We start from the raw sequence: 13,613 nt of genomic DNA on the forward strand, positions 1-13,613 counted from the left end.
CTAAATTAAGCCTCAGTTAACGACTCACATCAACCCACCTTCCCCAACCCTACTCAGGATGGCTGTTCGGAAATCTAATATTGATATATAAAACAATCTTAATTGGGGCCAGGCACAGTGGCTCATGCCTGTAATCCCAGCCCTTTGGGAGGCTGAGGTGGGCAGATCACTTGAGGTCAGGAGTTCAAGACCAGCCTGGGCAATATGGAGAAACCTTGTCTGTACAGAAAAAAAAAAAAAAAAAAAAAAAAAGCCAGGTGTGGTGGCGCACATCTGTAGTCTCAGCTACTCAGGAGGCTGAGACAGGAAGATCGCTTGAGCCTGGGAGGTGGAGGTTGCAGTGAGCTGAGATTGCACCACTGTACCCTAGCTTGGGCAACAGAGTGAGACCTACTCTCCAGAAAAAAACCACACCCAATTTTAATTGGGGTGCTATTATGGGTGCCATATGAGTTGGGTGGATGAACTCTTGATGGAGAAGTGGATTTTTCCATTTCTCCCTAAACCTCTGATGCAGGCTGATCAAATTGAGCACTCAAACATTAGATGTTAGGAAAAGAAGTTACTATTTAGATGCTGAGACAAATGGAAAGTGACACTAGATGTTCCCTTTCTCCCTTTTGGACTCAAGACAGAGCACTGTCTTGGTAAGTGTGGTCTTTCTTAAGGTATATGTGGCTGGTGCCGGCCATGATGTTTTTGTTTTTTTGTTTTGTTTTGTTTGTCTTATTATTATTAGAGTCAGGGTCTTGCTCTGCTGCTCTGGCTGGAGTGCAGTGGTGCAATCACGGCTCACTGCAGCCTCAACTTCCCAGGCTCAAGTAATCCTCTCACCTCAGATTCCTGAGTAGCTGGGACTTCAGGAGGGCACCACCATGCCCAGCTAATTTTTGGTTTTTTTTGGTATTTTTGTAGAGACAGGGTTTTACCATGTTGTCCAGGTTGGCCTCAAACTCCTGGGCTCAAGTGATCCTCCATCCTTGGCCTCCCAAAGTGCTGGGATTACAGGTGTGAACCACCATGCCCAGCCCCTGCCATGGGGTTAGTAACAACTCATGGAAAAGAATTGTTTTCACTCCTGAGTCCTCATACTTAGATGTTTGTCTATAGAGGATGTCACAAGTAGAATTAGGTCTCAAAAAGCCATCTGAGCTAGCAGAATATGCATGTCACTCATCTTTCCTTTTACTAGGCCCTATACATACTATTTTTTAAATGGACCTGCCCACTACTGTGAACTTTCTGAAGCAAGCCTGATCCCAGTTGTTCCCCAAAAAAGAATTTGAAATCGTCACACTCAAGCTTTTGACTCACCACTCTAAGAAAACCATTGTTTTCAAGGTTATTTAATCTTATTGTTGGCTAAATCCAAGTAATACTTCTTTGTCCTTATTTTAGTTGGTTTCCTGGCAACAACCAACATCATTGCAAATTTCTTCCTCGAAACACTCTCTTCTCTTGACTTCCTTGACATGATGCTCACTTGTTATTAAAAAAGAGTGCCTATGTTTGCATTTACCAGATACACCTTCGCCTATATTTTTATTTTTCAACCTTTCTGAACTGCTTTATTTAAGGGATTTTTTTCTACAGCATAGGGTTGGATATTCCATTATAAGCCAATTTGAAGTTATTTTTCTATATTAGAGATAGAATTTAACTCCTTTACATCTATCATAATGACAGATGTGTTTGTTTTTAGCTCTGGAAGGAAGGATTGGACTCTTTACAAGGGGCTTCTGATTAGGTATTCTTTAGCTGGTAGGTGAATCATTTGGGATGTCTTTGCTAGTTTCAAAAAACTCTATACAAATGGCTTAAACGTAAAGGGTATTCATTATCTTGCATAATAAAGAAGTCCAGAAGTATTTCATATTTTGTCTTCTGTTATACACACATACATGCACATACACATATATACATACATATATATACACTTATACATGAAAGAGAAACATTTATTTCTCTACATTTTTCACTGTATCTTTTTGTTTTTTATTTTTTTATTTTTATTTATTTATTTTTCTTTATTATTATACTTTAAGTTTTAGGGTACATGTGCACAATGTGCAGGTTAGTTACATATGTATACATGTGCCATGCTGGTGTGCTGCACCCATTAACTAGTCATTTAGCATTAGGTATATCTCCTGAAGTTATCCCTCCCCCCCACCCCCGTCTTTTTGTTTTTTAACAATGTTTAGGAAAATGTACATTTTTATTTTATAGGTTACATTTGTTTAATTTTACACACTACTTTTAGACTTTATTTCTTTAGATAACATCTTTTAGTTCTTTCATATGTGACTCACCACATACACAGAATTTTAAAAAACCCTATGGTCACATCAATAGATGCAGAAAAAGCATTCCGTAAAATCTAGCATCCCTTCATGATAAAAAACCTCAAAAAACTAGGCCTAGAAGGAACTTATCTCAAAATAATGAAGGTTACATATGTCAAACCCATAGCCAACATCATAGTGAATGTGGAAAAGTTAAAAGCATTACCCCTTAGAATGGGACAATACAAGGATGCCCACTTTCACCACTACTATTCAAACATAGAACTGAAAGTCCTAGCTGGGGCAAGCAGGCAAGAGAAAGAAATACAAGTCATTCAATCAGAAAAAAGTAAGTCGAATTATTTCTGTTTGTTGATGATATGATCGTATGCCTAGAGAACCCTAAGGACTCCTTGAAGAGACTCCTAGAGTTGATAAATGACTTCAGTAAAGTTTCAGAATACATAATCAATGTACAAAAATTAGTAGCATTTTTATACAAATAATGATCAAGCTGGGAACCAAATCAAGAACTCAATCCCATTTACAATAGCTACCAAAATAAAATAAAATACCTAGGAATAGATTTCACCAAGGAGTTAAAAGATCTCTACAAAAAGAACTGCAAAACACTGATGAAAGAAATTAGAGATGACACAAACAAATGGAAAAGCATCCTATGCTCATGAATTGGAAGAACCAGTATCATCAAAATGACCATACTGCCCAAAACAATCTACAGATTCAATGAAATTCCTATCAAATTACCAGTATAATTCTTCACAGAATTAGAAAAGGCAATGCTAACATTCATATGAAACCAAAAAAGAGTCTGAATAGCCAAAGCAGTCCTAAACAAAAGAGAATAAATCTAGATGTATCACATTACCTGACTTCAAATTATACTATGGCTATACTAACCAAAACAGCATGATGCTGGCGTAAAAACAGACACACAGATCAATGGAACAGTACAGATAACCCAGAAATAAAACCACATACCTCTACAACCAATAATCTTTGACAAAGTTGACAAAAACATACACTGGGGAAGTACACCCTATTAAATAAATGGTACTGGGAAAATTGAATAGTCATATGCAGAAGAATGGAATTGGACATGCATCTCTCAGCATATACAAAAGTTAATGCAAAATTGATTAGACTTAAGTGTAAGACCTGAAACTACAAAAATCCTAGAAGAAAACCTAGGCAAAACTATTCTGGACATTGGCCTAGGCAAAGAATTTATGACTAAGTCCTCAAAAAGAAATACAACAAAAACAATAGGCAAATGGGATTTAATCGAACTAAAAATCTTTTGTACATCAAAAGAAATAATCAACAGAGTAAACAGACAACCTACAGAATAGGCGAAGATATTTGCAAACATTGCATCTGACAAAGGGCTAATATTCAGAATCTACAAGGAACTGAAACAAATCAAGAGGAAAAAAACTCAAATAACCCTATTAAAAAGCAAGCAATGGACATGAACAGACATTTTTCAAAAGAAGACATACAAATGGCCAAAAAACATATGAAAAATGCTCAATATCACTAATCATCAGAGAAATGCAAATTAAAACCATAATGAGATACCACTTATACCAGCCAGAATGAATATTATTAAAAAGTCAAAAATCAACAGATATTGGGAAGGATGCAGAGAAAAGGAATACTTTTACATTGTTAGTGGAAATGTAAATTAGTACAACTTTACAGAAAACAGTACGAAGATTTCTCAAGGAAGTAAAAAAAGAACTACGCTTTGATATAGTCATCTCATCACTGGGTATCTACCCCTAAAAAAGAAATCATGTATCAAAAAGACTCCTACACTTGTATGTTTATCTAATGCTGTTTACATTAGCAAAGTCATGCAGTCAACCTAAGTGTCCATCAACTGATGAGCAGATAAAGAAAATGTGGTATATATGTATACTATGGAATCCTACTCAGTCATAAAAAATAATGAAATAATGTCTTTTATGGCAACATAGATGGAACTGGAGGCCATTATTCTAATTGAAATGACTTGAAACAGAAAGTCAAAAACCACATATTCTCACTTATAAGTGGGAGCTAAACAATGGGTACATGTGGACATACAGAGAGGAATAATAGACACGGAGATTCCAAAAGGTGGGAAGGTGGGAGGCGGGTGAGGGATGGAATAATTCCTATAGGGTACAATATATCCTATTTGGGTGATAGGTACACTAATAGCCCCAGACTTCACCACTATGAAATATATCCATGTAACACATGGATATATTATATACATGGACCCTTAAGTATATACATGGACCCCTAAGTATATAATATATATACATGTATAATATACATGTATATATATCCATAAGTATAATATATATACATGGACCCTTAAGTATATAAAAATATAAAAAAGGAAATGATAACATTGGCATATTTCCCCTTCCTTGCTTTTTTCTTCTGGCCCTCCACTGCTCAATTTTGGTCAACAAATTATATTTTTAGTTTTAGCTTTGTACATTTTAATGTTCTTATACTCTATTGTATTGTGTTTGTTGTGTTGTGTTGTATTTATTTATTTATTTATTTATTTTTTGAGACAGAGTCTTGCTCTGCTGCCCAGGGTGGAGTGCAGCGGTGTGATCTCGGCTCACTGCAACCTCTGCCTCCTGGGTTCAAGCGATTCTCCTGCCTCAACCTCCCAAGTAGCTGGGATTACAGGCACATGCCACTGCACCCGGCTAATCCTTATACTTTAAATACTTGTTTTGTCAGGTTGAATAATATATCCTTTGACTCAGATATATTACACGAGGCCATAAGTGAATTTACTCTACCTTCCACCTTCTTTCCCTCTTCCTCTTCCAGTTTTGGATAGGTATGTAATTAAATTTTTTCACAGCATATAGTATGCCATCCAAATCCCCACCCTTGCTTTAGGATTAGTTCTACAATTAAATACATTCCATGCTCGCTGCCATTCTTTTTGCTTTGGGTTAAGGAATTTGTCAAAAACTATACAAAAATTAGATAACAGAGTCAGGATTTAAACCAAAGTTTGACACAACATTCCATGCTTTTTCCACTACATTATGCTTCTTCTGAAAGTCTGCATACACACACATACAGACATATGCTTTAACTACACTGAAAGCAAAAGAGATCAAAACAGCACACAGAAAAAGTAAGCAAAATATAAGAAATTAAGAGTTAAAAAACAATAAAAATTGAAATAAATGGATAAACATATAAAAGTGACTGAAGTCACTTCATTAGCACCCCAAAATAAACACTGTTTTAAAATTTTTCATGGGGGCACAAAAGGTTATTTTTTATTGATAAGATTGGCAGGCCAATATTGAAAGAAAAGAAAAGGAAACAAGAGACTAACAAGTCTATAGAGGGTTAATCATTTTTTCAAAAAGGCTTTAAAACAGGAGGCTAAGTTAAAAATCATTAGGGATTATTTGCATCTCTGGAACTAAGGCAGCCATAGACTTCAGCAGAATATTTAACTCATTTGATGTCCCAAGGGATGGATTCATTGCAAGAGTTTTCTGATTTGGTTCTCTATGGCTGGTGTGTAAATCATTTGGGCTGTCTCCTACTGTCAGTTTCAGAAGACCCAGCCCTAAATAGCTTAAACATAACAGTGAAGTCCATAGGGTAGACTTTCACAGGGGAAGACAGGGTGGTACTTTCAAGATTGCTTATTTCAGTGGCCTAATGGTGACATCAGAGTCCAGGTCTTTTCCTTCTTTTCCACTGCAGCTATCCTCAGTATACAAATCTTTTCCAAGGATGGTCCCCACAGGGATACCAGATGATTACAGCAGCTAGTCCTCATCCTCATGTAAGCACAATAAAAGCCAGAAAGGACCATCCCTTCTTTGTGGACATTTTAAAGAAAGTGCAGTCCTTTCCCAGCAGCCTCTTTTGCACACTGGCCCACAAGTATCAATGGCTGGAATTGTGTCACATGCTCTTTGCCAAACCAATCATTGCATTGGTAGGAGGAGTGAAATTACAGTAATTGGTCTAAAATAATCTCAATTCATCCCCCCACCCACAGGGCTAGAAATGGACACACACTTGCCTGAAACTCAGAGCCACCCAAACTCAAGGCAAGGAAAAACGAGATAATCAATCAACAACATTTCTCATAGGTAGAAATAGAACAGAAAGACCTTCCTTTTACCCTCTGCCTCTCACTTTTGAACATTCTTAAATACTATAGAGGATTAGAAGACACATCACTCCATCTTTTTTACGTGCATCTTCTAATAGTTGATTGTTATTGGGCACAAGTTGCTACCAGCAGGCATATAACTTTTTCCATATAATGAATGGCATACTGGGTTTCTCTTCCAGAATGGCCATCAGGTAGTATTTATTTATGACTAATGTTAGCTTCTCAAGGCCGTTATGAGTCAATTAAGAGACCAGCCTGAATGTCTCCATGAGCTAAATCGATATTTACCCACATGCATGTACATAGTCATACTTATGAAAACACTTATGACTCCTATGAGAAAAATAAATATTAAACACAGGTTAAGAACAAGCACTTCCAATGGCTGAAAGAGGGTCTAAGATCATATGAAATACACCACAGGTTTAAAATTACTACCTACCAGAAGGATCATTTGAGCCCAGGAGTTTGAGGTTACAATGTGCTAAGACTGTGTAAGTGCACTCTAGCCTGGGCGACAGAGCATGACCCTGTATCAAATTCAAAAAAAATTATTGCCTAGATTTTCATGAAGGAAGACATAAAAAACAAGATAAAGAGGTAAAGTACCAATTTTAAGCAAGATTTATAGAATGTTTGTAATGTGCCAGATACTGTGTTAAGTACCTTATGTACATTACCTCATTTAAAGTTCACAGTCAGATCAAAGGTAAAATTACTATTATCTTCATTTTGCCAAAGAGAATACTGAGGCTAAGAGGGTGAGGATATTGCTCAGGTTCCTCTGTAAGTGAGTGGTAGGGCCAAAAATTGAACCCAGTTTTGTCAGGCTCTAAAACTATGTGCTGACCTTTGACCTCTACCCTGAGAAGACGATGGGAACAATGGTCCCCCTGAAATGTTTCCTCTCTCTTTAGGGTCCAAAACTGCTCCTGAAGAGCTACATAGACTTTGCTTAATAAGCCATCACTGCTGCTTGAAAGAATCAAGACATATTTCAAGAACATTACATAAGTCTCTGATACAGAGGCTCTCTGTAAACAACAAACTGTACTCACCTTCCACTTTTTGAAAATATAAAATATTTTAGGCAGAATTTATGCAATGAAATGCCTTAATAGTACACAATTTTATAACATTTTTATTTGAAAAAATGTTTTTATATGTGCTCCGTGAAATAATCTCCCTCAAAGAGAGCAGCTTCTTTTAAATTTCCGAAGAATTTTAGTTGGAGAAAAAATTCACCTAGATTTTTTTAAGTAGCAATATATAATCTTTTTACATTTCTAAGATTAAAAGGCATTTTCAACCAAGTAAACTTGCAAGTTCATTGGCTTTAAAAAACAAAAAAAAAACTAAATTCCATCTTAATGAAAGTGAGCAGAGCATTGTAAATGAATTAGCTCAATTATTTAGAAGGTTTGGGATGTCAGGTATATTTAGAACAAGGTGGGACCCAGGTGATGAGATTTCAGTGTTTTGCAACCTTACATTAAAATTGGAGTAATGAGCTACTAAATGTGTCAGACTTGAGTTCAGCATAGCAAAAGCTTTGCCAATATTTTACATGCTTAATACAAATCCCAAAGATAAAACTTGTTCTCATAAAACAAGTGGTTTCTATCTGTCTCTCTTAATGTTAGAGTCATAGGATAAACACACTATTTACCCTGTATGTGTGTGTGTGTATTCATTTACCCTGTATGTGTGTGTGTGTATTCATTTACTTCAATGATGATCAGATAATCATGCCAGAAGCTAGTATTCAAGAGAAACTTTATTAGTCCTGAGAGTATAGAAAGATTTAAAAATGTATGTTAATTAAGTAAAATGTACGGTAAAGTTATTTGGAACTGTATTTAATGAAATACACAATTGTTACTGAGCTGCATGGCAATTAGCTGTAAGTCATAAGAAATTTACAAAAGACTGTCATTTCATCAGCATTAATTTTACACAATCAATCTAACTTTTAAAAACTTTTCTATAATCATAAACTTTTCCCTGGATAAAAGCCATTTACATAATTCTGTCTCCTCTCTGTCTCTCTCTACATTTTTTTTCTTATCTTCCTGCCCTTCACCAAGACAGAGGAGACCCAATCCTGGACCCTGCCCAAGGCCTCAGTATCCACCTCTCCTCCTTCCCACCCTGATGATCAGGGTATCAGCTGCTTGGAAGCTCCAGGCCCTCGGTTCTTCAGACCTTGGAGCCACATCTAGTATGTCCTTAGATATGCATCTCCTGCTTTATTTGGAGGGGTCTTTATGAGATTCCCAATAATGTTGGGATGGGACAGAAAGAAGAAACCCAAGCATGTGGTGAAAGGGTGGTAACCCCAGGGAGAGAAAGGGCATATGCCAATGGTTCTGAAATTGTAGCATCGAACAGTTTGGGGTCAGAGGAGTGAGAAGGTGCGGGCATGGAGATAAAGAGTGGGGAAAAGAGGGGAGCAGAGCCGCCTATGGGGCCCAGGACCTCCACAGGAGACCCTAGCGGTGAATACATGCTCTCCAGGCACAGCTTCTGGAAGATTTAGCCTCAGTGCATCCTCCTCAGGGAAGCTGGGAGACAGATGGGGCTGGAGGACAGAGCTGCTTGGGCTTTTCCTGACAGCCCTCACCAGCAAAGCATACAGGCCTTCCTAGAAGACTTTGATAAATTTGGACCTAATCTTGGCTCTGTCATTTTTAGCAGTGTGACTTTAGGTAGTCACCAACCTGTCTGAGCCTCAGTTTCCCCATAGGTGAGGTGAGAATAATACTCTCTACATAGTTATCGTGAGGATTTAATGAAATGAAGCATCTGAGGCCGGGGCGCGGTGGCTCACGCCTGTTAATCCCAGCACTTTGGGAGGCCGAGGCAGGTGGATCAGGAGGTCAGGAGATCGAGACCATCCTGAGCAACATGGTGAAACCCAGTCTCTACTAAAAATACAAAAAATTAGCTGGGCATGGTGGTGGGCGCCTGTAGTCCCAGCTACTCTGCAGGCTGAGGCAGGAGAATGGCGAGAACCCGGGAGGCGGAGCTTGCAGTGAGCAGAGACCGCGCGACACTGCACTCCAACCTGGGTGACAGAGTGAGACTCCGTCTCAAAAAAAAAAAAAAAAAAGAAAAGAAAAAAGAAATGAGGCATGCGAACATTGCCTAAAACAGAGCAGGCTCTTGACAAAAGTGTTTTTCTTTTCTTCAGCCCTGAGGCATGAAGAAGGTTCTTCTTCTCATTTCCAGCTTTGCTCTAATTTCCCCACCTGTATATATTTCATTTCATTTCTGAGAATCAGAATGTTAAAAATAAATGCATAAGGGATTGGAGATGAGTAAATTGGAGGCTGAATAAGTGATAGCTTGGGTTTCTTCCAGCTGGGTTGAAGGAAGAGGAGTCATGTTGGGTGAGGGGGTGTCACTGCGGAAGGCAGAGGCATCCCGGCATCTTCAGGGCACAGGGACATTTTCCATCCCTTGTGGAGTGGGAGCTGTGACTGTCCCTTGCAGGGATTTAGGACCTCTGACTAGACAGTGTCCTGAGCCATAGTTCTAATGGGCATCCAAAGGTCCTGTGAAGGGGGAGGCTCCCTCCCGCACACCTGACTCTAGGACTAAAGTGCTAGGCTGGGGAATTTGGGGTCTGGTAGGATAATTGCTGCCTCTTATGCATTTAGCCCACAACTTGGGTTAAATCTACAGGCTTGCCTCTCAAAATAGACACTGGACTTAGCAGTATACACAACAGACCTCCCCTCAAAATCTATTTCTAGTTTTTGAGGAGAGCCAGGCTGACACTAAAAATGAAATTGGTTCTCTCACAGCATCTTGGACCCGTAGGATTGTTCCTGGCTCCTCTTTACAGTGCCTGGTGGCTTTTCCTTCCCTATTCAATCTCCGTTTAACTAACTACATTAATATTTCAGAAACATTCTGTGGCCTGTACATTGGTGGTACTTTATTCCCCAGGCTTGAAAAACTTTTTTCTTGTAATTGGAATGCTTTGTGCAGTCTAATAGTCTGTGTTAGGCTAAGAGTCGAATAACATTGCCCTTGTAATTATCTTGTCATAGCCATAAGACAGTAAGTGAGGGCATGTCTGCTCTGCAAAAGGCCAATTCAATTGTGACATTAAACATATGCCTGATCCAAATGAAACACAAATAATGGGTTACCAACCCAATCCAGTCATTTCCAGCCAGTCAGCATCCCCACCCCCCCATCTCTACCCACTAAGTTATACTAACAAACAGGTTATTATTTAAGTAGAAAAATGCATTATTAAGAAGTCAGAAAACATTCATTGAAAACAGATTGCCTCCCCATTTGCGCTGAGCTAAGTTCTATGAAATTAGAACTGCGCATTCCTCAAATCCAGAAGATTTTGTGTTCATGCCTGATTCTTTAGTGGTAGCTTCAGGGCCATTTTAATAAGAAGATTCCACCTCAAACAAAGATATTAGGCTTTGGGGCAAAGCCTCATTAAAAAATACAAGAAGCACATTTTTAGAAAGAATTTTTCAAAGGCTGTCAGAAGCCCCAGCTGAGTTGCAAAGGGCCTAGGCTACCACCTGCCTACTTTCCCCAGTTCTCTGACAGCCGCTAACTAACTTCCCTAGGGCCACTGAGGAGTTCAGATGACCTGACCGTGCAGGAGTCCTGTGACAGAGGAATAATATTAACTAAGTTAACTAAGTGGGAATGGGGGCTTCACAGAAGGCCGTCCGGAGGCGCGTACAGGGGACACGGGGATCTACCTGGAGGAAGAACTGAATTTGTCTTTTCTAGTTCAAAAAAGCCTTCCCGAACTCTTAGCAAACAAGCCAGTGATCGCCTCCTCGCCTTCGCCACTTCAGTTCAGCCTCTTTAGTCCCCATGGAGAGCCGGGATGAACTAGCCCGGCGCGCTCCAGCGGTCTCGGTCGGGGCCGCTGCTTCCCGGAAAGCCACTCCCTTTTTCTTTTCCCACCTGTGTTTCCATTTTCTTTGCCGAGTGTGAAACCAGCCGGCCACCCACCCGCCCCGCTCCGTCTCGTAGGTGCCTCCACAGAGCCAAACTTTGTACCTTCTGGGGATGGAGGGGGATCCCCCAGCAATCAGACACTACCGGCGAGCCAGCCCCGGGGAGGGGCGACTGGTGGACCAGGCGCCAGACCTTCCCGGGCGCGCAGCCCACGGGCCCTGGGGCGCGCCCACGCCAGAGCCCGGCCCTCGCGCGGCAGCCCGCGGGACGTCACCTGGGTGCTCGCGTCCTCCCCGCGCGGCGGACAGCCCGGGCGCCCTTCCTCTCTGCGGGACTGCAGGTCTATCCGCTAAGCGCGCGTGACCAAAAACGGCTCTCAGCGGGTCCCAGCTGACGGAAGGTGGGGGAGGAGTGCGAGGGTCTCTGAGACAGGTTGGGAGCCAGCCCCACCTCCATTTCCAAAGCGGGGGTCCAGGCACAGGAACAGCCAAACGCCCGAACCAGCGGGGTTACCTTTGCCACTTCATCCAATCCGAGCATCGGGTGCGTCGTGCTCTTTTCTAGGAGCGTGGGGTGCCTTCGCGAATAAAATCTGAAGGCATCTCTGCTCTCGCGGAGCTTGTTCTTTCTTATTTTCAAGTGCTTATCTAGACTGGTAGTCACTAAAGTTCCTGTGAACATTTGTAGGTGTTTTCAGCTAAGCAGTAATAGAAACTCGACCTCCATTTTATATGAACAAGTGTTTATTGATGTACCAAAGGTTTAAAGGAAGGGAAAGGGGAAAGGAGAGAGGAAAGAAGAAACCCATAATACCACCAAGGAACTTGTTTTGTTTTCACGAACTTTTAATCCACCCAGTACAACTGCTTTATAATGATCTTTAGCTTCATGCTTGCACCCTGATCAAATCTGCTGGCCTTAGTAGCTACTTAGCAAATAAGGTGACAAGGACGAAGCTGGAGTTGGATCACTTTCCACCCAAGGGAGCCTCATACGATTTTGGAGACAGGCAGCCCGCCCCGCATTCCACCTCAGCTTTATCATTTACTGTTAGGCATATGACCTCGGGCAGGTTCTTTAATGTTTCTCATCCTCAGTTGCTCATTTGGTACTACCAGAATTGTAAAACTGCCCTCCCAGGGATGCTAAGAGGCTTCACTGGCTTGACATATGCAAAAGCCCTCAAATCAGGCCTGCCATGTAGTTAGTGCTCAATATGTGGTCCCTATGATAATTATAGTCATTAGAGCACCTTTCAGAATCCTTCCTTCATCTATAAGATGAGTAGTCAGAGTGGCATGGCAAAATGTCCTGTATTTCACATTAAGTTAGGAAAATGAGAAAAACTTGAAAGGTTAGTGAAATTGGTTAAAATTTCAAAATTCAACAGATCAGAATTTTTAAAAGCAAGTGTAGAGTCAATGATTATACATTTCAGAACTGGAAGTCGCCTTAGAGTTAGTGTTTGTGCAAAAAGACATCATCTCTAAAATCTCTCAGAAAAATCAAGGAGATATGAGGATGGGAGATTAAATTTAAAGAGAATTTGGATTTCAAAGTGGGAGATTTCAAAGCATCTCTTAGGAAAGAAAAACAAGAAGAAACACTTGACCCATTTATTAGGCTGATTATCTAAACGCCCTCTACAATACCCTTGTGGAAAAGCCTTTTCTAGTTCTCTAATAATATAAAAATTCAGTCCACTATAAGTTTATACACCTTATGTTTTTTTCCAAGTTAAAATTTTGATGTACATTTTCCTGTTCAACTTTCCTATCCCTGACCAAATGTTAAGTCGTTTCAAAGAAAACTCAGAGTGGCTTGTCTTGAATTTCTCATTTGTAGGCAATCCATTTTAAAAAAGACAGGAATATTGGCAATGCCAATTTTTGCTACTTCAATTCTTTGTTCCAGTGATTGATAATGATGAGGATGATGATGTTGACGAATTCTATCTAGTTGTGTACTCTAAATGAAGGATGAATAAATCTCATTTTGTTGTTGTTGCTAAATTGAAAAGTGAAGAATACTTTTTTTTTCTAGCCCAATATATTGTATTGTGTTTTATGGAGCATTGGTGGCTAAAAAGCCTGTGCTAGACGTCACTATTTAGGGAAATATTAGCATATGAGGCTTAATTGCATCCTTGCTTAAGTTTGACAATTTCTATTGGTGTCAATGGAGGATATGTG

General features: G+C 39.9%; 1 protein-coding gene and 1 long non-coding RNA gene across 4 annotated transcripts in view; one reads left to right on the plus strand and one right to left on the minus strand.

Annotated features, from left to right (window-relative positions):
- The window catches only part of MCHR2 (melanin concentrating hormone receptor 2), a 75,705-nt gene extending 63,722 nt beyond the window's left edge, over window positions 1–11,983 (minus strand). The window contains exon 1 of one of the 3 annotated variants that reach the window (NM_032503.3): window positions 11,935–11,983. The gene's annotated coding sequence lies outside the window, so the exon portion shown is untranslated. Of the gene's footprint in view, window positions 1–11,523 lie in introns of all 3 variants that reach the window. The other 2 variants (NM_001040179.2, XM_024446571.2) reach the window with 2 other exon arrangements.
- Window positions 11,798–13,613, plus strand: part of MCHR2-AS1 (MCHR2 antisense RNA 1) — an 82,382-nt gene continuing 80,566 nt past the window's right edge. The window contains exon 1 of the long non-coding RNA NR_038384.1: window positions 11,798–11,964. This is a non-coding gene — a long non-coding RNA (MCHR2 antisense RNA 1). The remainder of the gene's footprint in view (window positions 11,965–13,613) is intronic.

Source organism: Homo sapiens, chromosome 6, assembly GCF_000001405.40.
Source record: "Homo sapiens chromosome 6, GRCh38.p14 Primary Assembly".
Taxonomy (NCBI): Eukaryota; Metazoa; Chordata; class Mammalia; order Primates; family Hominidae; genus Homo; species Homo sapiens.